The sequence below is a fragment of the Homo sapiens genome, chromosome 18, assembly GCF_000001405.40.
Source record: "Homo sapiens chromosome 18, GRCh38.p14 Primary Assembly".
In the NCBI taxonomy this organism is placed as follows: domain Eukaryota; kingdom Metazoa; phylum Chordata; class Mammalia; order Primates; family Hominidae; genus Homo; species Homo sapiens.
Window position 1 is genome coordinate 48,687,892 of NC_000018.10, and position 27,887 is coordinate 48,715,778.

At 50.0% G+C, this 27,887-nt stretch overlaps 1 protein-coding gene and 1 long non-coding RNA gene across 27 annotated transcripts in view, besides 4 other annotated features; one reads left to right on the forward strand and one right to left on the reverse strand.

The window, feature by feature from the left end:
* Nucleotides 1–16,534, reverse strand: part of LOC105372107 (uncharacterized) — a 30,901-nt gene extending 14,367 nt beyond the window's left edge. The window contains exons 1-2 of one of the 3 annotated variants that reach the window (XR_007066460.1): nt 3,982–16,534; nt 362–533 (exon numbers count right to left, since the gene is read on the reverse strand). This is a non-coding gene — a long non-coding RNA (uncharacterized LOC105372107). Of the gene's footprint in view, nt 1–361 lie in introns of all 3 variants that reach the window. The other 2 variants (XR_007066461.1, XR_001753440.2) reach the window with 2 other exon arrangements.
* CTIF (cap binding complex dependent translation initiation factor) overlaps nt 1–27,887 on the forward strand; it is a 324,187-nt gene that overhangs the window by 148,861 nt on the left and 147,439 nt on the right. For all 24 annotated transcript variants that reach the window (XM_047437960.1, XM_047437965.1, XM_017026100.2 and 21 more), the window contains one exon: nt 23,728–23,804. In XM_047437960.1, coding sequence (XP_047293916.1) covers nt 23,728–23,804 — 77 coding nt within the window. The remainder of the gene's footprint in view (nt 1–23,727; nt 23,805–27,887) is intronic.
* Nucleotides 10,752–11,542: an enhancer, noted in NCBI's record as "H3K4me1 hESC enhancer chr18:46225014-46225804 (GRCh37/hg19 assembly coordinates)". NCBI's record gives its function as "activates a minimal SCP1, AML or CMV promoter by ChIP-STARR-seq in primed H9 embryonic stem cells {active_cell/tissue: H9 hESC(primed)}" and the evidence as "EXISTENCE:reporter gene assay evidence [ECO:0000049][PMID:30033119]".
* Nucleotides 11,543–12,332: an enhancer, noted in NCBI's record as "H3K4me1 hESC enhancer chr18:46225805-46226594 (GRCh37/hg19 assembly coordinates)". NCBI's record gives its function as "activates a minimal SCP1, AML or CMV promoter by ChIP-STARR-seq in naive H9 embryonic stem cells {active_cell/tissue: H9 hESC(naive)}" and the evidence as "EXISTENCE:reporter gene assay evidence [ECO:0000049][PMID:30033119]".
* Nucleotides 12,725–12,794: an enhancer, noted in NCBI's record as "active region_13292". NCBI's record gives its function as "activates an Ori minimal core promoter by ATAC-STARR-seq in GM12878 lymphoblastoid cells {active_cell/tissue: GM12878}" and the evidence as "EXISTENCE:reporter gene assay evidence [ECO:0000049][PMID:35858748]".
* Nucleotides 12,815–12,974: an enhancer, noted in NCBI's record as "active region_13293". NCBI's record gives its function as "activates an Ori minimal core promoter by ATAC-STARR-seq in GM12878 lymphoblastoid cells {active_cell/tissue: GM12878}" and the evidence as "EXISTENCE:reporter gene assay evidence [ECO:0000049][PMID:35858748]".

Sequence of the window (27,887 nt, forward strand, 5' to 3'; positions counted from 1 at the left end):
AGTCCCAGAAGGTCTCATATAAAGTACAAGCTGTCCTTGCCTTTTGCCAATTCACATTTCAACAATCCACGCATTCTGCAGTTCCTGAAAACCGCTTGTGTAGAACTTCTGGTAGCTTTAATCTCCTTACTTGGGAGTTCCTGCTCATTTCTGGAAATGTTTAAATAAGCAAGTCTACCCTTAAGGAAAGTCAAGACAGCTTTTCCAGTATAATACATTGCATCTTAGTGATAAAGAGGTAGAAACCTCAGAGCTTAGTCTGGTTGAGGCAAGGCCAGTCTGTGCACGGTTTTGTCAGCTGCTCCTCCTCTCAAGAACACTAAGGCCTGAAGGGCAAGGGCTCTGGGTGCATCCTTATTACCTGGAAGTGCTCCTTTTCCAGCAGATCACCTGCAAGGATTCCTCCTACCGACATGTTGTCACCTCAGCCCCTGATGTGGAGGATAAAGCTGGGTATACTTGCGATGGGGCTGGTGAAGAAGAGAGGGTCAGATGAGGGCAGGCTCAGGTATAGGGGTGCCAAGGATGGGTACCTAGACCAGCCAGAGAGAACACAGAAGACTTAGCTGTCTCACCATGGTGCCCAGAGTAAGGAACAGCCAGCATTGGATGGAGGAACAAAGAGATGAAATGTCCTCTGTGCATGTATCTTGAAAAGCACCTAGTCACCATTCTAAACCATCCTAAACACGTCCTTCTAAACAAGGAAGGCAAGGCTCCCAGTGGGGAAGTGCTGGGCCAGAGGCCACACAGCTCACTCAGCCACTGACTTGGGGCCCAGGGTCCCTTGGTCGCTGGTCTTCCCACACATCCTGTAGTTTCTTTTATAATGAATCCGAATGATTGGTCCTTGTACAAGGCTCACAGGACATCTGTTTAATAATGTATTCTAGAATTTCCTAGAGATCAGCATCAAGTAGGTGTCTTTGAAAAGGCTTCATCACTAAAGCATCTGCACAGAAAATGTTCTGTAGAGAGGAAAGAGGGGGAGAAAAAGAAAGGAATGACAATCAGAGCTGCCTCTCTGTCTCTGCACACACTCCCCTCTCTCATCCAAGTGAGAACTGCAAGACCACATAAGCTGCTAATGGCCGAGGTTCCCGGGGCCCCACTCCTCAGCCCCGCCATGCCGGGGCACAGAGAGGTGGGGGCACAGAGAGGTGAGGGCTCTTCCGAAAGATGCGGTGGTGTTTGGGGGCCTTCAGACACACCCTGGAGGAGGAGGACTGCCACAGCATCTGGGCATCCCGCACTGGCAGTTGTACCCTGTCCTCATTGTTCTCTGTTCTGCATACTGGGCTGTGTGTCAGGCCTGTGGCTTCCTTTTTCATCCCTGAAGGAGGCCACTAGCCACATGGCGACTTTTTGCAAATTAGAAAGAGGTGCCCCTTCCTCAGCACAGCCTCTGTCTGATATTGTCATAAAAATAACTCAAATCTATGAGGACAGAGTGGCCGAGTCACCTCCTGGGGTTGTTCAAAGCATGCAGAAGCAGCAGCCCGCTCTCATTTTAAGTGGATTTCACATGCTGCAGCTTGAATTGAAGGCTTGGGTCACTAAGTCATTTTCTAGAAGGCCAAACTTTGAGTTGAGAACCTTTCAGCTACAGAGAACCCTCCGCTGAAGGGTAATGTCTAACAGCCAAGAAGGCAAGTTTCCTCCATTCTATTTCTTCAGGAGGATGGAGTCACGAGGTCATAGGAGGGCCCACCTGAAAGGAGCCTTCATGGTTGTCCATATAACACAGCCCCTTTCAGTCTGCACTGAGCCAAACTCAAGCCCCAGGCCAGCGCAGATGAGCTGAATTCTCAAGGTTGTTGTGAGTCAGAGGTCACTGTACACAGGAGAGAGATTCCTGCTGTCCAGGAGGGGCTAAGTGCAAAGGTGACTTTCAGGGAAGAAAAGGTCACTACCTTCCCCTGCCGCAGTTAACTCTCTGGGCAATGGGTCCTGGGCATGAGGCACTTGTAAAGCTCCCCGAGTGAATCTGGCTTGCAGTCATGGCTGAGCCCCTCTGCCCTAAGGTATTAAAGACTTATCCCATTTCCCCAGTCTGTGAGATACTTACATCATAGAAAAATAAGCAGTTAGCCAGGACTTGATCCTAACTTATAAAACATTAGTTCAGTAGCTTCTGTCATCTTGAAATTGATCATGCCCAGCCTTATTTTCTCCCTGTCCTATAAGAAGGTAGGATTCCTCAGAGCAGGGCTCATGTCTTCTTTGCCATTGTGTTTCTTATAGGTGACACTCTCTCCCCCATCTCCACCCCACCCCGTCCTTCACCAAAACTCATCAATTTCATTCTAAATTTTATTTTATTTGGGCGTTTACAGACTCTCCTTCCATCCACTATGGCTTCCCTAACTCCTCCGCTAGTCCTCCTTGCCCCTTGGCTGTTGTGACAGCCCCTTACCAGTCTGCCCTGGGTTTGGTTTAAATCCCCTAAATCCAGTCACCTCTAGCATGACCTACAAAGTGCACACATCTAGCTAGTTTCCTGATTTGCTCCAGCCTGTCCTTGCCTTCCATCACGTGGAAGACAAGCTCCTCTCATGCACGGTCATCCCAATCCAGCCCCTGCATTTCCTTCCAACCCTGCATCCCACATTTTCCCTATCTTGCACCCCATGTAACAGCACACTGGACTAGCTGTGGAGCCCTGAGTACAGAAGGGCCAGGTCTGTCTTCTCCTGGCTGATCCATCATGACCTGGCTCGGGGATTGGCTGTGGAAAGTAGTCCACAAACACTTAAGGAACACTCTCTCAGCAGCCCTGGCGCACCCTGCAACACGCACAGGACCCAGAAGGCATCCTCCCAGAGCCGGAACACAGGAGCCTGCCCCGCTCCACCTCTTCCAAGCTGCATGGACTTGACCAAGCACCTTTACTTCCCCATTTCCTCCTATCTAGGATGGAGATAATAAAACCTCCTCCCTGCAAACCACCATCTCAGAAGGCTGTAGTGAGAATCAAGCAAGACAATAATGGAGAAACTTCTTTGAAAACAGTGAGGTGCCAGTCAAATCTAAGGGCTTCTGAGAGGGCAGCAGTAAATAGGTATTGCACACGGCAGCTCCTGGGGCCCACTGGGAGCCACTCACCACGAGCATGGTGCACGTGCCTGTGAGCAGGGCAGACAGAGTGGCTGCAACACAGGCTTCTTCCTTCGGTATTTTTATAAAGGGAATCGGGTGAAGGAAATGTCTTGGAATAGACAATCTTCCTAAACTCCCCCAAAATAACTTCAGTGGAAACAATTGTAACGTCCACTCTGCCGGCATTGTTTCAGTCCACTGTAGTATGGGAAAAGTCTCCCGGCATTTCCAACTCAACTGGGAATCCACTTGACTTCCAGACGTCTAGAAACAAAGGGATTGTGCCCAAGGGCCACTCTGGGTGTTCGTGGCCCTCTGGTGCCGAAGACAATTCCAGGGCCTGTGTATAGCTTACTCTTCCTCTCTCCCTCCCTTTGGGAGACATATTTGCTGAAGGGCTTTGTATTTTCCCATACATAACTTTGTAGGGGTCGTTACCAAAATAGTTTGTTAGAATACACTTGAGATTCTAGATTTCCCTCCAGTCAGTCACACAGCCCAGTGTTCCAGATTCGAGGCCTCCCAATGCTCAGTGACTCTTTGCCACCTGCACCAGATAGAATCAGTCCTCTCCTAAAAGGTCTTTCCTTCTTCCTTTCTCTAGCTGGGAACAGGTGCTCATGTCCCCAGTCCTTGTCTGGTCTTCCTGTCTCCCCACTCCTTCTCTTGTGAGTCTGTCCTCCTCAAAGAAATTGTCCAAGCATCTTTGCTCACTCCTGTCTCCCCTTTCCCTCTCCCTCCCAGACCCAAGTGGTGACACCAGCTCTCCCCTGGCCTGAGACAGATCTGAAGCCCTGGAATGTTTCTTCACTCCCTCATCTATTCTTATCCTCCACCGCCCCTCACTTGCTGCCCCAGGTATTCCAGGACAATCCTATTTACCTGCCATTTTATCCTTTTCTTCTTTTTGAGACAGAGTCTCACTCTGTCACCCAGGCTAGAGCACAGTGGTGTGATTTCGGCTCACGGCAACGTCTGTCTCCCGGGTTCAAGCAATTCTTGTGCTTCAGCCTCCCGAGTAGCTGGATTACAGGCGTGTGCCACCATGCCCAGCTAATTTGTATATCTTTTAGTAGAGATGGGGTTTTGCCATGTTGGCCAGGTTGGTCTCAAACTCCTGACCTCAGATTTTATCCTTTTCAAAAACCTGAGCTTGTTAATTGTCTCACTAAATGAGACTTAAGTTTTTATCTTTGTAAAACAAAACAAAAAACCCTTGCTCAACTCAACTGGGAATCCACTTGACTTCTGGAGGTCTGGAAACAAAGGGATTGTGCCCAAGGGCCACTCTGGGTGTTCATGGGCCACAAAAAAACAAAAACAAAAACAAAACAAAAAACAAAAAACAAAAAAAAAAAACCACCCTTACTCCTATTTCTGGCTCACCATACACGAAGATCAGTTTCCTTCTTGCCTGGATCTTGTCCTCTCCACCTCTCTGCCTCTAATTCTCCCATCCATCAAAATCTCTCTCACTTCCCCCTCTTTGTAAGAAGTGTTTCCTAACCATTCTGCTGGGACATTCTAGAATCTTTGCTTTCTCAGAACATGGTACCCTGCCTCATTACTTCTCAAACTTTAGCGTGCATATGAATAGCATGCAGATCTGGTGAACATGCAGCTTCTGATTCAGGAGGACTAGGGTAGGCCTGAACTTCTGCATCTCCAGCCAGCTCCCAGGTGAGACCAACGCGGCTGGTCCTCAGACCACACTTTGAGTAGCGGAACCCTACAACAATGGTTCCCACATTTTGCTGCACAATGGGCTCCTGTGGAGGGGTGGGTTGAAAGAGACTGGTGCTAGTCTTCCATCCCTAGACACTCTGATGTTTTTAGCATGGAGCTTGACCCAGGCATTGGGATTTTAAAATCTCCTCAGGTCATTATACTGTGCAGTGTGGGAACCACTGCCTTATTGCATAAAGTGAATATGGCTAAGCCTATTATTATTTCATCTGTGCTTACCTTGTCTCGACCTTGATAGACTACAGCCCTCTCTAAGGCAGGACTTGGTCAACATTTTGTTTTGAGCATTGATAGATGAACCAACTGATTAGATATTAGGCCCTTACGTGCTTTTCTGATGATGAATCGGTGTTAATGAGCATATATGTGTTGCCACAGAGAAATGTACTAGATATCAAGAGGGAAATAAAAATGGATCTTGGCAGACCATGGTGAAATCTACCCGGTGCCAGCATCAGCGGAGGGTGGCCCAGGCTGTCCTGTGTGGCAGGCTCCAAGGGCTCTGGGCATGTTTTTGGCCCTTTCCCACCCACAAGAGGAAAAAGAAATTCTACCTCTCTGGCCTGCTTGTTCTAAAAATACTCACTTTTTCTCCTTTTAGTCTGAGGCAGTGGTTCTCGACCACGTTGTAGACTCGCCTGGGGAGCTTTTAACATCTTTGATGCCCAGGCTGCACCCAGACCAAATGCATGAGAGTCTCTGGAGTGGGACCTGGGCATCGAGATGTTTTAAATGTCCCCAGGGGCTGTCACTGAGCAACCAGGGCTGAGAGCCACCAACCTCAGGTAAATGTAACCCCTTTATCCTCATCTCAGGTGGACTGAATTTGTCAGGTCCTTCTATGAAGGAGTGGGGAGAGAGTGTGAGAAGGCTGGGTACCTATCCAAGGCAGAAAACCAGCACCCAGTAGAGAGAAGGGCCCAGAGAGGGAAGACACTGCTGCCAAATGCGCCAGGTCTCCAACATGTCTCCAGTGCAAGGGTCTATCGGCCATGATCCACGCGCCAAGTCCAGCCCTCCATTGGTTTTTATAAATAAAGCTTTATTGGAACACAGCCACACTTCTGTAGCTGTTTTTGCCATACAGCTGCAGAGCTGAGTCATTGTGACAAAGACCTTATGGCCTGCAAAGCCTAAAATATTTAGTATTTGACTCTTTACAGGAAATCTGCTGATCCCTGCTCTAGAGGGTTGACCCTGCATAGACTCCCTAACTGCAGTTTATGCGTTGGTGCCTATGCGGGGAATTTTTAAAACCACATTTTGGACTTTGTGTAAATTTTTAGTTGCTCTTAAAACAGAGCAGTGTCCTGGTGGCTGTGCTGACAATAAGTCCTGGTTGGCTTCCCTCACTCAGCTGTTGGGGTGGCAGGTGCTGCTGCTCCCACCCTCTGGTCCCAAAGACTCTCTTTGGTTGCCCTAGGGTGCCCGGCAGATGTTACTGTTTTCTCTGCAGGCTGTGAGTCGGGGGCTTGGGAAGCCCCATATCAAAACCTAGTAGATGTAAGAAGTTAGACACTCTGGCTAGGAATGGACGCTATTCCTGCCCAAGGACAATGGATTCAGGTGAGGAGGGCTGCAGGAGGCAGAGGCTCTGGAGACAGAGAGCAGGGAGGGGATGAGAGCTGCCCTCAGTCAGAGCCACAGGAACCCTGGCAGTGGAGGATGGCCAGGAAGCGCCTAAAGACTGAGCTTCAATATCCTGAGTCCAGGTTCTCAAATTCTCCGCCATTCCTTCTTGAGCCACCGCTGTGCCCCTGAAAGTAGGTCAGATCACTGTCTGCTACAGAGCCATGGTGGGAATGAGATACCAACTACGTCAGCAGGGCCACTATTGCTTAGTGAGCCTGCTGGCCAGAACCAATGGCTGCCCAATTTAAGACAACCCATAAAGACCTTTTTATGTGGTGCAGACTCTTTAATGCCGTGCATCCACACAACAAAAGCTTAGCACTGCTTTCTGGGAATGGAACAAGTAATTGAATTTCTGAAATGATAAATTTCACTATAGTCAGAGAGAATGGTACAACCAGTCTCCTTAAAGCATCTGGATTCTCTTGTAAAATTAACAAGTTGGAGTCGATTGTCTAATTTACTAAAGATATTTGGAACAGGACTTACAATTTCCTAGTATGCTTAAAATACAGTTCCACACAGAGATTTTTCTGCATGCAAGCAGCTTTTTAGGAACTCATCTTTGTCCATCTAATCTTTCTTCCTAATTGGAAACCTCTGTAAGACCTTATCCTTTGTCATTTCTGCAAGTTCCTCATGCTTTTTAAATTTTTGACCACACACTTGTCAGGGAGATCTATTATCTTCTTCTGGTACTGATCAGATTCACATGAAGCAGCACAGCTATTTTGGAAGCACAGCACAGAATTTGGAAGAAGGGAGAGGGAAGAAGTGAGGTGCTCTGGCACAACCCAGTTACAGCAACCTTGTAAATGTATGCATTCAGTGCTGGAATTGTTTACAGAGCGAGTGCCCACCACAATTGGGGCTAACCCTTTCTGTAGCTTGTTTAAAGCCACATTCATTATTCATTCATTCATTTGTTCACTCCATCAATCAGCATTTGTTGAGTACCTGCTATGTGACATTGCTGTGCAGAGTCATTATAATGGGATCTGGGGGTCTATTGCCAGAGAAAGGGAACCCACGCACACACTTCTGGATGGGCACTCGCTGCCGTCAGTGCTGGGTCTCATGACTGATGCTCTTATGAGCATTCCGCTACGGTTCAATCCTGAGCCTCATGGGAATAGGCTTTGATGTTAGAGAACTGAGGTGCCACCCTAGTTCCATTGCTTACTTGCTGCATTTCTTTAGACATGCTGTTTAGTCTATCCAGCCCTCCTTTTCCTCATTTGTAGAGAATAGATAATCGTAGTACCTATATCTCAGGGCTATTGTGAGGTTTAAATTAGTTACTGTATCAGAAACTTTTCACTCAGTGCCTGCCTCCATACATTACAGCCCGTTGCTATCATTATGATAGCTCATAATCCATGTAGACATCATTTGGCTCCTTCTATGGCGAGGAGACTTTCTGAACACCTTCCAGGAAACTGGCATTGCTCAGTCAGGAGAAGAGCGCGTATTTATCGGGCAGGACTGGAGGGGAAGGAAAGAGTTCGCAGGGAACTTCCTGCCATTGTTGGGCTGTCTCCTCCGCATGTGACTCGGCTCAAAGATGCCCAAGCCTGGTCTTGCTGTCTCCTTTTTCTTTATGTTCTTGCCACTCTGAGGTATCCTAGGAGGAGCTAGTAGAACCTTTTGAAAACAGCCAAGGAGTGTCACAGATCTGGCAGGTTTCGTGCAAAGGCCCAAGCCGCCTCCCACAGATATTCCCCCTCTCCACTTCTTCCCCAGCTGTCAGTCTCATTAGCATCTGCAACGTGTAAGATGCAATTCTGGAGGTGAAGCTTAGGGCTCTGGCATGGGGCGGGGGGCTTAGGAGTCCCTGGAGTCCCCTAGTCTTTGCCTAGGCTATGGGCCCAGCTGTGATCCAGAGTTTACTTTCACCTCCAGCCCTTTCACATCAGTAGACAGCACAAATCTAGGGCAGCGAGCCTGTGTCTTCTATAACCCAGTAGAGGCCATTGGATGGGACCCCCCTGTTGGTGCTGACTGGGGTCACAGTTTGGGCTGGCCTACCTCCTTGGACCCTGCTGCCCATCCATCGCAGGGTGGAACTCCTGGTCTCACCGTCCCGGCCTGTGTTACTTTGTGTGACCCCCGCCAGACATATTGCTCTCTTTATGGGTACCGACACCGCTCTTAGTCTGTCTGGCTTGAGCTCTCGGGACCTAGGGTCCACTTGGACCCTTCTCTTTGCAAGCTGATCTGGCTTGAGCATTTCCCATTTGGGTTCAGCAAACATGTAATCCAGAACTGGCCAGGTGTGTTTCTATCTGTCATCTCCTTTGGTTTTCAGCATCTCATTTAATTCCTACAACGAAAGGTAGGTATTAGTCTCTCCATTTTCAGGCAGAGGAAACTGAAGCTTAGAGAGGATAAATGAGCAGCATGGGTGCCTGGCCAATGTACCTGCTGCCTTGCTGTCTCAGAAGTGAGACACTTGTTACACACAGGGGGCCTGTGGAGCTAAGTAGTGGGCCTAAGCATCTGTGGTGTGTTGTCACCATGCAGCCAGTGAATGGCCACCTTTGTCCTCGGAGAGCTTACAGTTTCACTGAGTCCTGGGGGACCCAGGTCTTTGTTACCTTTTCCCTTTAACTGAAGGAGAGCTAGCAATCACTAAGCACTGAGCCTTATGGTTAGAGGACATCAAGGATCCTGGCCTCTTGCAGAGCAAGAGATATTGCCTAGTTAAAGGCCACAGACCCCTGGGCCTCTGGGCCACCAATGAATGCTCTTGGTCCACAGTGGATCCAGTAAGAATGGCCCAACTCTGGCCTGTCAGGACAGTGGTCATCTTAACTTTTTATACAACAAACAATTATGGAGGCTCATGGTATCTAAGGCACTGTGCCAGACACTGTGGGGCCTACAGAAGTGAAGGAAGCATGGCTCCTGAGCTCCTGAAAGTTTGTAGCTTGTTTGGGGAGGCAAGCATTTAAGTAACTATCTAGACCATTCAGACAGCAGGATGGAGTACTAGGAAGTTTGTCCAGTGTGCTGTGTGACCAGATGGATTCCTTCTCATGGGAACTGGGATCAGCTTTGCATGGCAGGGGCATTTGTGCTAATGGTAAAAGCTGACAGAATTTTAGGGGTAAACAGAAGTGGGAAGATGTTCCAGGCTGAAGACAAAGCCTGGAAGGAGGAGTGTGTGTTCAGGGATGGCATGGCAGGTGCACAGGGAAAGGGAGGCCCAGATGGTCCTTAAAGATCAGTGGCTGACCATTCTCCAGTCTAACTCCAAATGCCAGGGCAGGAACCCGGGTATCCTGGCCCCCAGCCCAGTGCTCCTTCTGCTGCATTGCTGTAAATAGAAGTTTAAAGTGGTTCTCAAGGCCAGAGGGGATTGGGGAGCAATCCATTTGCTGAAGCTTTTCCTCTGGATGGGCTTCTCCTGAGAGATGACATGTGAGGGGGTAGTGAGAATCTAAGGGATCACCTCCTCCTGATAAGCCAGAAAGCACCTCCACTGTTGGGAGGCTGTGATGCAGCCAGAAATAGTGATCCTGCCGTTGCATCCTAGCCCTTGAGTCCATCACCCCAGCCCTGCAGTCCTGCAGTCCTGAAGCACAGGATCTGATCCCCTGAGCCTGGCTCATGCACTCTGGCCTTCCAGGTCAAGCGTGGGGTATGACCAGAGCCAGGAACCATGTGGCACTGCAGGGCAACTCTCTACTCCTCCCTCCTGAAAGTCAACTCAGTGGAAAATGTAGCCATCATTAAAAAAAAAAAAAAAAAAAAAAAAAAAAAAAAAAAAAGCAAACTCCCCTCTGAAAACCCTATGGATGAAGGGAGCACTTGAAGGGAACACCAAGTACACAAGGAGAAAATGACAAAATGCTGCTTTCCTGGCCTCTGCTGCTGGGCAGCTGGGTGATTCAGCTGCAGGGGCTGCCCTCCTGGAACCTGTCGCAGGAGATGCCCCGGCTGCATGCCAAGCTAGGAGGGCCCAGCAGCTGGCATGGGACTCGCTTCCATCCTGGGGAGGCAACTATGTATTTATCTTATTTTCAGAGACTGAGTCTCCTTGTGTTGCCCCGGCTGGTCTCGAACTCCTGGGTTCCAGTGATTCTCCTACCTCGGCCTCCCAAAGTGCTGGGATTACAGGCATGAGCCACTGTGTACAGCCCAATTCTCCATTTTTAAATTTACTGGTTTATGAAATTTGAAATGTTGGGCACCACTAATTTAGGTCTACGACTTTATTTAAAGAAACTCTAAGCTTCACATATTAAAGACTAAACAGAATAGGAATACCCTATTTGTTTTCTCTCAGCCTTGAATCTTTCCCGATCTTTTCAACCTGGTCATTCTGGTCTGGCTCACCTGTCCCTTTCTTAGGGAGGACTCTTCTGATGCCCTAATCTAAAGCATTATCCCCTTCCTATGGTTTGGTTTGGTTTTGAGCACACTTGTTTCTGTTTGAATGACCTTGGTGTTTTTAGCTGCAGGCTGGGGACTGTCATTTCCCCTTGGTAGAGTGGAAGTTCCTCTCTGTGGCCTAGGTCACTGTGGCATCCCCAGCACCTAGTACAGCCGCTGGCACCACATAAGCCTCAGCAGAAATGTGTTGCCTGAATGAATGAAACCACGGATTGGCTTCCTGGACGAGGACCCACGTTTCAACCCTCTGTCCCTCCAGCACCAAGGCTGAGCTGCCCCTGCTGGTTCTCGGTCAGACCTGAGGAGAGAGGTCCTCTCTTCCCCACTCTTCTTATCTGTGCTGTGGCTAGCTTCTTAGATACCCCCGAGCCTCCTGGTGCCCGACGGCCCCAGCAGGCTAGTCAGACCCAGTGTCTCAGTCGAGTTTCTTGGCTGCCGAGGCCTGAAATCTTCAGGGCCTTTGAGTAACATTCTGCCCTTGAGCAGGTTCACAGACTGGCTGGTCCTCTGGGAGACAGGCCCCTCCCTGGCTCTTCAGAGCCTCCTTGCAGCTTCCCCTCTTCTAGCTCTCTGCCTTGCCCAGAGTCCTGTGATGAGATGAGGGGAGGGATTGGGAAGTGCCAGCATGGGGCTGGGGCTGGGGCTGGGGCTGGGGCTGGGGCTGGGGCTGGAGCCGGGTGGTGCAGGTCTGTGTGGAGGAAGCTGAGGTTGCAGGGACTGCTTTGGCCCAAGAGTGTCCTGGACACGGCCTGGGAGCTTAGCAGGTGGTTAGTTGATTAACACAGGTATGACCACATTCTAGGATGGTTTTGGGGTTTGGGCGGCTGCTTCCCAGCAGGTGCACAAAGACCACAGACGCAAGTGCTTACGAAGCCTCAGGTTGGAGGCCTTCCTAGCCCAGGGGTCTCCACATGCAGCGGGGCATTCTTGAGCTGGGCTGTCGACATGCCATTCATGCCCAGTCATCTCATTTAACCCTCGTAACGGTCCTCTGATATGCGTATGCTTCTTTATTACCACCATTTTTTAGGTGAGAAAACTAGAAGCTTAAATAAGGTAGGCATTGCTGCCAGCTCCTGCGGTAAGTGGCAGTGACAGCATCTAGCCAAAACGTTTGATGCCTGATCTCTGCTCAGGGCACCTGGATCTGCATTGCTGCAGTCCCCCAGCTCTCCAATTCCACGTGAGCACACTCCACACTGGCTCGGCAGATACTGAGAGGCAGGTCCTGCTGCTCTCGCCTTCACTGTGGCCTCCTTATCCATGCTGATATGGCTTGGCTGTGTCCCCACCCAGATTTCACTTTGAATTATAATAATTGCCACGTGTCAAGGGCTGGGCCAGGTGGGGATAATTGAAGGGAGATGGTTTCCTCCATGCTGTTCTCATGGTAGTGAGTAAGTTTCATGAGATGTGATGGTTTTATAAAGGGGAGTTCCCCTGTACATGCTCTCTTTCTGCTACCATGTAAGATGTGACTTTGTTCGTCCTTTGCCTTCTGCCATAATTGTGAGGCCTCCCCAGCCATGTGGAACTGTGAGTCCATTAAACCTCTTTCCTTTATAAATTACCCAGTCTCAAGTATGTCCCTATTAGCAGTGTGAGAACAGGCTAATACACATGCCTGTGGCCTCTCCAGCCAGCTGTGACCTACCAGGGCAGACAGCAGGACAGTGATGAACCTGTTCATTCATGTGAGGCCTTGGAGGCTTCCCCCCGGCACAGCGGGGTACACCTCAGAATCTTAGCATGGCTGCGCAGGTGGTTTAGGCAGGGGCTCCCTCCCTGCTACCCACAGATGCCCCTGCCCTGTGCGAACGTGACTACTGCTAGTTTGTATAATGAGCTGCAGCAGAGTGTGCTCAGAAGAAGCAGAGCAGAGCCCCTCAAGCGTGGGCCGTGCCTCTCTCACTCTAACCTCAGAGCCTCTGTTCACTTCGAAGGGTGACCTCAGGCATCCCTTCCTCCACAGCTCCTTGGACCTTGGATGTTCTTCCATTGTGACTCCACTCAATTTGCGTGTCCCTCTTCCCCAGGGCCCATGCCCCTCTTGGAGACAGAGGTGGAGTCTTGTTTTCCTGTGTCTGTGCACACAGCATGCTCACAGGGCACCGTGGGCATCCTCTGAGGGTTTGTTGAGCATCACTCCTCTTCTAGAGTTGGTTGATGCTTCAGTTCTATGATGGTCTTTGAACCTCCTCAAGTACATAAAACTCTTCACAATGTTGCCCACTTCTCAACAGTTGTCATTTCCCCCTTAGAGGCCAGAACGCAAACATTGCTTTGCCTTCTCTTGAGCTTGCTCTCTAGAGTTCTTGAGGCTCTGGGTCTTATCTGTGCCATAGACACACCACTTCATGAGGGGCCAGGACACAGGCCATATGTGTCTCATCATGCCCAGGTGGTTTTTTCAGGGGCTGCAGAATGGAAACTCTCATTCCTCATGGCCCTTTGTACCTCTCACATTTCTTGGGCGTCTTTCTGCCCCTGGTCTGCAGCAGCTTGAAGGCATTGCCATTTTCAGTTCAGAAGTGTGTCCAGGACCCTTAATAGATATCCATTATCCAGGGAATGGAGCATGTCAGTCCACTCCAGTTCCATTCTCTTGTGCGTGTCCCGTGTCAATGAGCAGCATGAACACCATGAGCCTAAGTGGCCTGTGTTCAAGTCTTTCCTGGGTTCATGACCTGGAGAAGGCCCGTAGCCTTTTGGTCCCATTTGGTCTTCGACACAGAGAGTCACAGTCATCCTCCAGTGCCTCCGTCCCCCAGCCCCCAGTGCACACAGTGCACTCCCTTCAGTGCACTGTGCTGGCTGCAGAATGGAAGCCTGACAATGGTAGTTGAAGAAGTGGCATTTTACTAATTGTTTCCTGTACATTTTACCCTCTATAATGTAGAAACAATCTTCTAACACTTCCCTGTTGGTCCCTAGTCCCTGTTCTTTGCATCAGTGTCCTCACCTATTTTATCTGTTTATTCAGAAATTAATAAGTAAATGTCATTTGTATTTGACATTGCCTGGTAGATTCCTCCTGACATGGCTACCCGTGGAGGGCAATAAGGGAGGGGCCATGTCTGCTTTCCATGACTTCCTGGATATAATAAGATCAGCCCCACTGACTCCTAAAGTTGTATCATGTTAAATTATTTAGGACTTTTTTGGTTGCAAGCGACAGAAACCCAACTCAAAGTATTTTAAACGTAAAAAGAATTTGTTGGCTCATGAAATCAAAGAAAGTCTTAATAGTGTGGCAAAGGAGGTAGGAAGAGCAAATATTTTCATCCTCATTTTACACAAGAGAGAGGAGAGGGCAGAATGGGATATTAAAAGAATGGTCCATGGTGATCCAGGCTTAGCGACAGCTAGGATCCGGGTCACCCAAAGGGTGTGTGCAGTTTATTATTCAGGACTCTTTAGACTGTTACAATAAGAAACCCTGTTGGAAGGAAAAGGGAGAGAGGGGTGGTTATTCCCTTGGAGCATCCAAGGAAGTCTTGCCCATTCCAGCGACCCAGCCTCTGGAACCGCAGTGCTGTGCAGATGAAAACCATCTGGATATAGGGTGCATGTCATAGGCTCTCACCCACAAGGCTACCCTGCGCAAAATATTCACGTGCACTTTTAAGGGGGTCGTGGAATCCACTGAAACCTGTCCGGGGTTCCTGAGTGAAGCCCTTCTTCTAGAAAAATGTCTAGCTCATTGTGTAGCTAGCCTCTGGGATAGTATTGAGAGCAGAGCTTTTCAGAATGGGTAGAGTTTTAGGTTCACGCCACAGGGCACCAATGTGTGGCAGGTGGAGGCAGGATGTGTGGGGTGCCAGGGCTCAGCGGCAGCTTCCAGAAATTCCATGTTTACTTTTATTGTCTATGATTTTATATTAGAACTTCAGCTAAGGTATTGTTTTTAAAAGGATCTCTGCTGATTAAAAAATAATAAATTAAAAGTTAGAAAACCACAAATTTAAGCATGGGTGAGCCTGCCCACCCCCGACTTTCCTTTCTGAATCAGGTCAACTTCTCTGAATAGCTGTGCAGCCTAGAGATTCCAGGAATTTTAGAAACATTACCTATTTATTTCTGCTTGGACGTGACCCACACATCCTGCCCACGTGGAGAGAGACCTTGGTAGGATAACTTCTTAGAAAAAAAAAAACATGAAAAACCATGACCCCCAGCAGGAGGAAGCCTCTGCTGTTAAGACAAGCTTATTGTCAGAGGAGCTGTGCTTGGGATTTTTATGGTCCTTTAATCAAGTGCTGTGGTTCCTTTGTATTGTTCACCCCTTGGGATGTCTACCCAGGTTGGGGCTAGAGATGATGGGAGTCTGCAAGTCCTGAGCTAGCAGGGTCTGGACTTGGCCTGAGGATCTGCCCTACCTCCATGGGGCTCATGCTCTCTGGGTATGCCCAGGGAGTGACAGAAACCTGATGTAATCAATATAGAAGCTTGTGAAGAAGAGGGGGACTGTAGCTTCCAAGAGGCCAGGGCAGAGTGGATATCCAGGCACTGTGGGGGCAGACAGGTGATCAGCTGGGAGGGAGCAGGGTTGGAGCTGCAAGGTGTGCCTGGTGAGGAGCCCGGTGTGGCCACCTCCTGCCTGGGACCTCCCACCCCTTCCCTGGCCTGGGCTAGGATCCCCACCACTGCACGGCTGCACCACTTCCTTGCAAAGACAAGCATTTAGTGTAGTTGTTTTTAACAAAGCAGGAGGAAGACTTTCTTGTGTCTGTATAATGCTTTCTTCCTTTTCAAAAAGCTGCTGTATGGGAGAGAGAGAGATAATAGACCTAGAGATAGTTAGGCTTGGATGATTTCTATCAGACCTAGGTTCGTGGTCAGGGGTCAGAGGTCAAAGATCATGAGACTGTCAGGAAGATTTTCCTTGAAGGTTAAGTGGGCATTGGATTCTATGAAAGTGCAGGCCATGGAATTGAGCTCTGCGGGGCACTTCAAAACCTCATTGGGGCAGGGGCAGCAGCCCGGGGACTCCCCCTCCACCACCACCACCACCACTCCAGCCTGTGGAGTGAAGGGCAGGGTGGGCTTGGTGGCCAGGAATACCCCTTTCTGGAGAGGAGAAGGGAGGCGAGCAGGTGAGCCTGCCAAAAGGGCTGTGGCCAGGGTCATCTCTGGGGTTACAGCAAGGATATGCCAGGCAGACACAGGAGGCTGTCTGAACCAGTGCCTGCCAGACGCCAGCTCTCCCACTTCTGGGCCTGGGGGGAAGCGTAGTGGTCACTGGGAGGGACTGCCTGTCTCTGAGTACAGAAATGAGGGAGGGACTTGCTCTTGTCCACTCCCTCTTGCTTCTAGAGGCCTGGGGAGCATGGCGGAGCACCACGGGGTCTATGGTAGGGTGGGAGAGAGCTCTCTGATGCTCCTGGGGGGTTGGCCTCCCATCTCTGCCCTGGTACCGTAGGCCATGTCACATCACCATTGGGACCATGTGCCTCAGAGATGGAAGACACAGGCTTCCTGCTAACTGGTTGGGCCTCTGTGGGCAACTTCTTTGACCTCACTAAGCCTTCTCTTCCTCTTCCATAAAAATGGGCTGGATATACAGTGGAATTACCTGGTGAGCATTCAACATATACAAATTCAAATCTCAAATTCAAATTCAAAATTTGGCAAAGGAAATATACTCAGAAAAATATCCCTCCCAGCCTGGGTGATTTTGCCCACCACTCCACCTGGGTTAGTTTCCCGGGGCCGCCATAACAAAGGACCGCAAACTGGGTGACTTAGAACGGAAACTTCTTGGCTCACTGTTCTGAAAGCAGAATTCCCACATCAAGGTGTCGGCAGGGCCACACCCGCCCTAAGATGCTAGGGAAGGACCATCGCTCCCTTCCAGCTTCTAGTAGCCCCTCAGCTTCTTGCAGTGTCCCCCCAGTCCTCACGCGGCCTTGTTTTTACAAGGACATCAGTCATATCGGACCGGGGCCCCACACATGCACATTCCAATGTGTCCTCATCCTAACTTAATTACACCTGCAGTAGCCCTCTTTCCCAATCAGGCCATTCAGAGGAACCAGGGGTTAAGACTTCAGCGTAAGAATTTGGAGATCACACTTCAACCCATGACATCATCCAGAGGACCCTTGGTTGGGGAAGGAGGAAGCATGGGAGAGAGGCACAGGCCCCTCAGGGTGGGCACATCTCGGCCCCATGTGAGGACTGGGTAGAGACAACAACTTTTACACCAGAGGCCCCTAAGTGCATGCTGACCACCTCGGCTGGCAGGCAGTGGTGGAGACAAGAGCCTTTTCCAGCCTCTGAAGGAATTGGTCTATGCTGGACAACTGGTAACTCCACTGTGGTCTCCAGGGAAGCAGGTTCATCCTTCAGGGAGGGTGGGGTAATGGGTGTCCACGGGCACAGCCTGACCCATTGCTGACGGCAACAGCAGTGCATCATCTCACAGTCTAGAGGTGTTGGCCGGGCTGCGCTCCTTCTTCCAAGGCTCTAGGGGAGGAGCCTTCTGCACTTCTTCCCAGCTTCCCGTGGCTGCCAGCAATCCTTGGCACTCCTGGGCTTGTGTCTGCCTCACTCCAAACACTGCCTCCGTCTTCACATGGCCTTCATCCCTCTGTGTCTCCTCCATCTTTCTGTGTTCAAGTTTACTTCTCCTATAAGGACACCCATCGTTGGATTTAGGGCCCAACTAAATCCCACAGGACTTACTTCATCATAACTTGATTATATCTTCAAAGATTCTATTTTCAAATAAAGTCACGTTCACAGGTGCACGGGGTTAGGACTCCAACCAGTCTTTCTGGGGAACACAATTCTACCTCCTGCGGAGGGTGAGGAGGACTTTACAGATGGGATCACACCAGGACTTTACAGATGGGGTCACACTGTGGTCAGCATCACCAGCAACGGTCCTCGGAATGCCAGGGCTTCACCTCTGCCCAGGGGCCCAGCCCAACTCCCGGCACTCAGCCCATGATGCTGCTGCCATCGGCCTGCCGGGTTGAGGTTGTGGCATGCCCTCTTCTCCTCTCTTGTGCCTTGTCAAATGCCTTAGAGCTCCACTCAACTATCACCCACCTGGCAGAACCTTCCCTGACTCTTCTCCCAAGAAGTCCTCGGTCCTTCCTATGGGCCGCCAGAGGCGCCCGTTCAACTTCAACTATCGCACATGGCACATATCAGCTTCTTTGTTTGTGTTCCCTTGAGTTCCCCTAGGCCTGGGACAGAGTCTTATTCTCCTGATATTCTCCATCAGGTGCACTGTTGCATGGCGGGCCCCCTACATTTGTCGAGTGAGAGAGAGACAAGGGTGGATGGATGGGGGCATGGGTAGGTAGATGGACGTCAAGTGTTACCTGAACAGAGAGGTCTTCCCTGACCCCTCCACCCGTCCCTCTCTCATCCCCTTGCCCTGTTGTGTTTTGCTCCATAGCAAAACATAGTCCTTTATCATATGATATACTTTGTTGCCTCTCTCCTTTCATTAGAATATGTGCTCTGTAAGAACAAGCATATTGCCTTTCTATTTCAGTATTGTATCCACAGTGCCTGAAACAACAATATTTATGAGATTGCAGGTGCATGGAGGGATGGGTGGATGGAGGCATAGACGGGTGGGTGGCTGGGAGCCTGTTGCCTAGGGGAGGTGTGTCACTCCTATCACAGTGTCAGCTGGTCACAGAGCCACCCGGCACAATGCTTTCTGCTCACTGTTTGTTTTGCCCTCCCTCCCCATCCCCTCACCCCCAGATTCAAGAATTATTATTTTTTTATGGCTGTCATCACAGGGCAAGGCCTCGCACTCTCTGCCTAGGATTATTAACTATCTGGGGCTCATGTTCTGGGGCCAGAGCTCTGCTGGGCCTGCCCTTAATCCCTCAGAAATACCCACCACACTGGGTTGTGAGATACCAGCCTCAGCCTGCCCTGGAGTGGGCTGATTTTACATAACATGTTTTTGCAACCAGAGCAATAACATGCCGCCCCTCAGTGTCATGTCTTCTGCAAGCACTGACCTCAGGACAGGAGTGTATGTGCACGTGTGTGTTCCACGTGTACTCTGCCGGCGCTGCATGTGGAAGGAGTATTAGCTTCCCTCCATCCCTGGAGAGGCTTGGTTTATATAATCTACTTGTCTCTCAGGCCCATTTAGTTACCGGAAGTGGTCAGATGTTAGACAGACAGGGAACTGCAGCCAGGTCTCAGAGCTCAGGGGAGAATGGTTCTCATGCAGAGAGGTTGGGGAAAAGCAGGCAGGGCCTGGTGGGTAGTCCCAGTGTGCTACAGAGGCACATCTGACTCAGGTAGACCAGACAGCCAAAAAGCCAGCTGGGAAACCCAAGGGCTGGTTCTCTCATGTGGGGAGTGCAGGAGGTGGAGGGGATACTTATACCTGGACTGATGTCTACATGGGGCCCTTTCAAAGCACATAGTAGAAGGATTTGCTGAGCAAAGAATTAAAGCAAAGTCCACTGTATGTGCTTTTAAAGGATACATTTCCCATTTACCATTCAAGGGATCTATCCTTTTTAAAAAGCAAGGAGAGGTCTTTGGTCTAAAGCCAGAATACTATCTCCCCTGGCCAGGCCACCAGAAGCAACAACTTATACTTTTTCCAGATTTCAGGAACGTATTGGTCCTTCCTGTCATTGGGTGCCACTTGTCTTGGACATGCCACCTTTTCCAGCCGCATCTTAACAGATAATGTTTTAGGGCAGCTGTTTCCTTGAGATTAACTGGTGGGGGGCACTTTTCATTTTGATTGATCTTCTCTTCTTCTCCTCCTCCTTCTTTTCCTTGTCCTCCTCTTCTTCTTCTTCTTCCTCTTTCCCTTCTCCTCCTCTTCCTTCTCCTTTCTTCCTCCTCCTCCTTCTCCTCTTCCTCATTCTCCTTTTTTTCTTCCTCTGAACACATGCCATTCCCTCTACCTGGAATACACCACCCCCAGATACTTTTTACCTTTTTAATTGAGATATAATTTACATACCATGATATTCACCCTCTCATAGTATACAGCTTAGTGGTTTTTAGGGTATTCACAAGGTTGTGCAACGATCACTACTGTCTAATTCTGGAACGTTGTTATCACCACAGAAGGAACGCAGCATCCCTTAGCAGTCATTCTTCATTCTTCCCCTTCCCAGCCCCTGGCAACCACGGATCCACTTTCCATCTCTGCAGATATGCCTATTATGGACGTTTCTTAAAAACTGAAATCATGCACTCCGTGGTCCTTTGTAACTAGCTTCTTTCCCTGAACATGATGTTTTCAAAGTTCATTCATGTTGTAGTGTGGCTCAGAACTTCCTTCCTCTTTATGGCCATATAATACTCCACTGTATATATGTACCATAATTTATTTATCCAGTCATCAGTGGACGGGCACTAGGTTGTTGCCATGTTTTGGCTCTTATGAACAATGCTGCCCAGACCACTCACATATTACCTTACCTCTCACCAATGACTTTAAAGAAGCTCTGCCAACCTGCATGAGCTGCACATCTGGTGACAGGTTTGTGACTCAGTACAGACTTTCTCCTTTCTTCTGCTGGCCTCACACTTGCCCCCTGTTAACACCCAAGTGTTCTTGTTTTGGGAGGAGTGTAGGCAGCACCCTGAGTTGTATGTGTCTCTTGGTACCAGCTACCATCTTGAGTTTGAAGAACAAGATGGCTGATTTTGAGGGGTTCTCAATGGAGCTTGTGTCAACACAGTGCCCCCCATTGCATGCAGGAGGAGGTTCCCGGTGCTGGAAGTTCTATGTAAAAGGCCCCAGGGAAGGCAGTAAGGTCCATTCACTTATCCACCTAGATGCCACATTGAGGCTGAGGCCCCAGGTGGCCTTATACATAGGACCAGCCCTCTATAGCCCTGGCCTGGATTGTTCCTGGAGAGGGAGGACCTCAGAGGGTGCAAGGCTTTGTTCTGTCACCTCTGTCACTTTGTTCCACTCATTTTTCGCCTCACTATAGTCTTCCAGCCCCAGGCCAAAAACAGCATAAAATAGAGCTTCTCCATCCTCCCCCAGCACACCACCCTGGACCACCAGGCACTGTGCAGATTCTGTCTTCCTTCCATGGCCTGAGCTTCCCATGCCCTCCCTCCCTGCAAATCACTTCCTGCTGGACTCTTTTCCAAGGCTGGGGGCTCCATGAGGACAGGTGCCTGTGCTGCCTTGTTTGTCCTGGCACACTCAGCCCTGAGCAGAGTGTCAGGATCACAGGAAAGATAACGATGATGATGATGATGATGGCATCGATGACAGTGATGATGACAATGAGGCTTACTATGTACCAAGCATTATCCTATGTTCTTTACATGTTTCGGAACTCATTTAATCCTCACAAGGATTCTAGCAGCCAGATGCTATTATCTCCATTTTACAGATATGGAAACTGAGGCACATAGAGGTTAGGTCATCTGCTCAAAGTCACACAGCCATCAAGAGGAAGAGCCAGGATCTGACATTCACAGTCTAACTCTAGAGCACAGGCCTCTAACCACTGTCATGGTTTATACACATACACTACATAGATGTGAGTTGTTCTGGGATGGATGGATGGGTGGACACAGGGGACCTAACAGTGGCTTCATGAGAAGCCCCGAGTGGCCCGGTATGCCCCATTGAGCCACACTGAGTCTTGGGACAGGGTTAGCTCCCCATGGCTGCTGCCTGTGTGCAGGTAAGGAGGCCAGGAGGTAGGTTAGAGCCCAGGGCTGGAGGCCCACACCGAGGAGGCTGGCACCCCCTGGGCTCGTGTTACACTAGGGGCTATGGCCAGTTCCCTCTGCCCGGCCTCAGAGCCGAGATCCTAGTCCCTGCCGCCGCCGGTAGGGAGCCTCGGCTTCCTGTCCATTGTCTCCTTGGGGCACACCCGGTGTGTTCCTGAAGTGACCTGGAGAGGCAGGGAGGGAGGGAAAGAGGGAAGGGGGCCAGCCCAGAGCCTAGTCAGGGTGGGAGAGGGGAAACGAGAGGGGAAGACTTGGTGTTTTTCCTTATTTGTGTTTTGTATTAAAGAAAACAAATAATATCCTTTGAGAAAACCATTAAACAAAGCACATCCTAAGGCCCCAGAGGCCTATTGTGGCTGCCTGGAGCCCGGAATTCATTCATGCTTTCTTGGCTAGATTGTTGGAGGCAAGAGAGACGGGGGTGAGAGGAAAGGATTGTTATTAAAATGTATTTTGAAATGTGTTGCTCCCTCCCTGCACTCAATCCAGTCCAGGCCAAGTGGCCATAACTCCAAGGTCCCTGTGTCCTCCTGAGTCTGTTGTTCTCCCATTACCTCTCTGGGAAGCTCCCCAAAACTGGCCAGTCCCAGCATAGCCAGGGTGGTCAGTTTCCCCCATGAGCTTGGGGGCTGAGCCCCGTGAAGGCAAAACAGTGGGACCCTCCTTTATGGAACCTGAATCCCGAGGGCTGCATGTGCCCCACCACAGGGTGTAACCCACAGGACTATGATCTCTAACTCACTGTGTGGCCACTCTGGGCCTTGGGCTCCCTGCCTGTAAGGTGGGGAGTGGGCCAGAATAGACCCCCTCTGACTGCTCTCCAGCAGCCTGGACCCTGTGGCTCCCTGTCATCCAGCGCATGCTCAGGTCGCTGCAGGTGGGTGGGAGTCACACTCAGGCTATGGCCTCTGCATCCAGGCCTATACCCAGGTGTCCCAGGTCCAAGCCAGACCACTCCCTCCCACTTGACTCCAAGCCTTGGTACCCCCTACTCCACCCCAGGCCGCTCATAATGGAATGGTAGTGCATGGTGGTGCTCTCTGCCATGTCCACACCAGAACACACTTTTCTGTTGGAGGAGGGATGGGAAGAGGTGGTAAGAGCAGAGCTGGCCATCAGCCCAGCTTGTGCAAATAGCTCTGCCTGTGATCCTGCATTTGCAGGATCTGCCCTGGGTTGCAAATAGAGGGTCTCTCTCCAACCTTGATGTAGATGTAGAAATAGTTGCTGTCATGATGACAATACGCAAAAGACTATCCTTAGAATTTTCCCCAGTTCCTCCTTTAAAGTTGAAAAAGGAGCCTGGGCAACAAAGTGAGACCCCATCTCTGCAAAAAATCAAAAAACAAGCCAGGCGTGGTGATGTGTGCCTATGATACTGGCTACACGGGAGGCTGAGGAAGGAGGATTGCTTGAGCTCAGGAGGTCAAGGCTGCAGTGAGCCGTGTTTGTACCACAGCTCTTCAGCCTGGATGACAAAACAAGACCCTGTCTCAAATAATAATAATAATGATGATAGTAATGCTGAAAAAGTAATTTAGCTAATTCCATGTTTTCCTAAATACTCCCTAGGCAATATAGGGAAAGAAGATCTTGGGTAAAAATTTCACTGGGGGTGCCTGGACTAGGTTTAGGAGACAAATTTCCTCTTCACAGGGCTTAGGGTTTTCAGGCTTCACCTCCTTGGTCCTCTAGCAGCCCAGAGAAGAAGGGTAACATTCCCATTGTGTTATGGAACTTGTGCTTAGAGAAGTAACTTGTCCTGGGATGCACAGCCAGTGAGCTGCAGAACCTGGCCCCAGCTCTGTTGCTCATTTTCTGCAAAACCTTGAACCAGCTTGTTCATCTTTCCAGATTTGAATGTCTCATCTGTAATTCAAGGACTTGGACATAATGGATTCTAAGGTCCTCATTGTCCCTACTGTTCTTTGATTCTGTAATTCCAGCATCACTGCCTGGTAGGAAGTTCATTGACTCTACTGTTTTTCCTTTTTCAGTCTGGATTTGGTGGTTAGAGTCTAGTCTCTCCAAACTCTTGATGTCTTTCTGTCTTAGATGCTGGTGTACTTAGTGCAGTCCCAGAGGTGCTTTGCTCTCTTTCAGGAGTTACTAATGATCCCCCTTCCTCCCCCCATGACACAGGGCTACCACCCGATGCCCCATGAAGTGGAGATCGCACACACCAAGAAGCTGTTCCGCAGGAGGAGAAATGATCGAAGGTAGGAGAGACTTCGTCGTGAGCTTTGGGTTTTCCTTTCCTGCTTCTGCCATCTGTAGCGACGTCAGCTTTGGCCTGCATTTCGCTTTTCCCAGTCACCAGCTGATCCTGATGAGATGGGGTTGGTGGCATCGTGGGTTGGTTACTGGCTGGGGATTCCCCAGGGGCAGAGTGGCGGCTCCACTTCTCTTGTTGGCCTAGGGATTGGCTCCCTTCAGGCGTTTGGCTGAGAGCCCACCATCACCACTGCCTCTTCCTGGGGGTCAGGCAGTGACCAGGCTTTGCAGTTCAGGAGGAAAAATGCTGTTTCCGCTGACCTCAAAGCAACAATAGTGGTCCTCAGAAAATAGGACTGGCTGGCTGTGTGTTTTGAGACATGGCCTCCAGGAGGCTCCTGGAGCTCACAAGTGCAAGAGTATCTGTTTTCCTCCTCCCTGGTCATTGGGGGTTGTCCCTCATGCGTGCTGGCTCTGCTGTCACAGGCAACACACAGATCAGCAATGGCACATGCTACTGCTCCCAAATTCCTGGGGGAACCCACTTAAACTAAGGCAGAAACCGAGATCTCCTGTGGAGCTCAGACTCCCGAGTGACAATGGGGCCAGGAAAGGGGCAATGAGGTAGCCCTGGATAAGAACATGCAGCTGAAATTGAGCATCCTGGGAATGTGTGCATTTATTTTCAAAAAGGCTTTCTTATAAGGGGAGATCTTCAAGATATATTTTAAGTGGAAAAAATTCAGGTGCAGAGTAATGTTTCTTATGTGTGGTCATTTATGCAAAAGGGGGAGTTAGAGTATATTTTTTGCTTGAACATGCATAAATTATTTCTGGATGGAAATACCAAAAAAAGAACGAACAAAAAGGCTTATGCCTCAGGAATTAAAATGAGGTGTTCCTCTATAGGGAATATATTCTTAGATAAAGATGACGGCTTTTGGTTCTACCTTTAATGAACAGAGAATGTTCTCTGAGGGCCAAGAAACAGCCGGTGGACATGCCTTGCTCAGAACCCTAGCGGCGCCTGTGCTCAGGCTGGCTGGCCACCTCCTTAGGCTGAGACCAGGGTCTCTGATCCTTCCCTACGCATGCACACCCTGAATAGGGATTATTAGGTGGTGACTGCAACTCTCAGGGTGGATGTAGGCCTGGGTGCCCAGACTGCTTTGTCATCCACTGGTGGATTAAGTGGATCTGAACACATTCACAGAGGATGGCAAATGTATAAGTAGCTTGGGAAGAAGGCAGTGTCCTGGCTTAGAAATCAGAACCACCAGACACTTTCTGTAGAAGCACCAGGCATCAAAAAGGAACACTGAGCAGGAAGAGGTGGACCCAGGCCTGTTCCTGCCTTGACCAGAGTACAGTTTATCGCATCGTGTGTGCTGCCTTTTTGCTGTGCAGCATCACAGAGGCAAATTCCTGGTTTCTGGGTTCCTGGTAGAGGGAAGAAGGAGGCAGCACCCCTCAAGGAGGAATAGGGTTCACAGGGGCCTGGGAGGTGTCAGAGAGAGCAAAGGCTTTATGTCCTCTGCCTCTGGCCCTGTAGTCTCTGATGGCAGGGAAGACCCAGAGTGTGTGTCTGGGAGGTGTGGAGAGTCCCCGAGCTTCCTGATGAGAAGTCACCCTCTGCCCCACCTCTCTGCGCCCAGGCAATGGCAGGCTGCCACCCAGCATCCAGGTCAGCCTGCATGTCCATTTCTGGGCCAGGTCACCTCACTCAGCAGGAAGACCCTGGACAGTGGCAGGCCTCCGGAAAGCAGCAGCGTGACCCAGGGATGTAGGAAGAGGAGCGCGGCATGCAACGGCTGGGAAGCCGAGCTTCCGCTGAGCTGCGCTCACATTCACCAATGTCCGGGTTAGGTCAGCACACCTCCCAAAGGATGTGGACGGGCCAGGGTCCAAAGTGAGGCAATAAAGATGATTAAAGGGGTGGAAAGTATGTCCTGTGAGGAGTGCTGGAGGGCTGGGGCCAGGGAAGAGGAGGCCGGAGGGAAGGAACATCGTGCCGTGAAACTCATGAAAGATTTATACGGAGAGATGAGGGGCCGCTGCCTCCATGTCCACAGGGACCCAGACTAGAGGAAGTCAGCTTGGATGGAAGAACAGAGTTTTCAGCTAGACCGAAGACAGACTTATGGAGCAAACATCTTGACCATTTGGGGCAACACTGTGCAAGTCAGAGCAGCAGCCATGCCTGAACACAGAGCGTGTGCTCGTCGGGGCGCCCCGCTCTAATTCCTCTTCTAGATGCGGTAGAATCCGTTACTCACTCACAGCCTGGAGCTGTCGTGGAGTCCTCAGGTGATGGGGACTTTCAGGAGGAAAGCAGGCAGCCATATAGTTTAAGGACCTTTTTGTCTAAAAGCAGGGGTCTCCTGAGTCTGTTTTGGGAAATCGTGGGATTCTGCCACCCAAAGAGCCGCTGCAGAATATTATCAGGTGACCCCTAACCTTCCCAGCTAATGACCCATAGTAGTAGCCTTGCTAAGTGTCAAACCTGCATATTTGACCTTGGAAGTCCATACTTGTGTGCAGCAGGTTCACCTTCCTAATATTCTGGGCTTAAACTACACTGGGAGGGGCTTGCATTTCCTGGGCACGCATGGTGGCAAAGGGAGAAGTGACCAGAATCAGATTTGGTGGACAAAGGGCACAGCCAGCATCTGTGCCATGCCTCTGATCTCCCCCCACCATATGAAGGGAAGGGGCCAGCTGTATCCCTCTGGTGGCTTGGTGGCTCTCCTTGGAATGGAGAGGAGTCTGTGGCTTTCCATCTTCCTGCAAAGTGGCTGGAGTTGGTGTCCGATAGCTGCAAACTCCAGGCAGCATGAGCGTGCTGCTGAAGCTAGGAGCATGCAATTTCCCACAGCCTGGAGCAGGGATTTTCAGACTGGGACCTAAAGTCCTAGGCTTCATCAAAGTCTGTGTCCCATCCCAGTTCCAGCTGCACTCTCAGGGGTTTTTGTGTGCCTTACTGCTTTTATTTTCCACTTGTTTAAGTCTGAGGCTGTTAGCAAGCTGAATTATATAGCAGTTTAGGGACATGCCCTGGAATTAGGAGCTGGATGGGAATCCCACCTCCTCTCCTCACTCACCCTATGATCTTGCCAATTACATCACTTTTGAAAGCCCTGTCCCTTCTTCTACAAAATGGGTTCACTAGTCAGGGAGCTGAAAGGAGCTGATTCTAATAAAGCACCTAGAAACACGGTCTTAGTGTTGGCCCACTCTGCAGGTCAGAGGGGGTCCTAGGTGCTCAGGAAGGCTTTCAAGGTAAGTGTGGAGCACAGGTGTCTGCAGTGAGCGGGGAGCTTTTGTCCTGTGATTGTGGCAGCAAACCCGGAAAGCCTTGCCCTGCATTCCCTCCAGGGGCGGGCCGCTAGGATCAATTGTTCCTTCCCCTGGATCCACTTTTAAAGCCCTACCCACACTGTCAGAGGGGGCAGAGCCTGGGCTAGCAGGGAAGGAGGCCCCTTCAGAGTGGTCACCTGCAGACTCTGCTCCTGATGCCATGGGCTGCGTCTAGTGAATTGTGGATGTCTTTTTTCCATTTTGAAAAAAAAAAATTAAGCTCATGGACAGTTCAAAGGTTTCCTCAAGAATGTTCTTGACATTTGAACAACTAGTAACCACTTGTTTGTTTTTGGAAGCTAAGAAAAGACATTTGCTGATTTCAGACAAAATTATGCATTTTGTGACATAAATGTGCTAAATGAGTGTTCCACGCGTTCCTCAAAGAGCAGCATGCCTTCTGATGCTCTGGCCCCATGCAAGTTGGAGACCTGTTGCTTGGAACGGGGGCTGCTAAGGCTCGTTCCCCCCCTTTTCTCAAAGCTTTCTGCCCAGAGCACATAGACCAGAAGAGCAAGCTCACTAGAGGGCTGGAGACCCGGCGCACTGCCCAAGTTGACCCTGAGTGAGGTCCCTCACCGCTGGGGAGGATATTTTCTCTCCCCACCACACCCTGGCTGCATTTAAGAGATGAACACATTAAGGCAATGAATGGATGTTGTAGCCTGAGCTCCCTGGGAAGCAGGCTCTGGGACAGTGATTATCAGCAGCTGCTTTTAAAGGCATGCCTT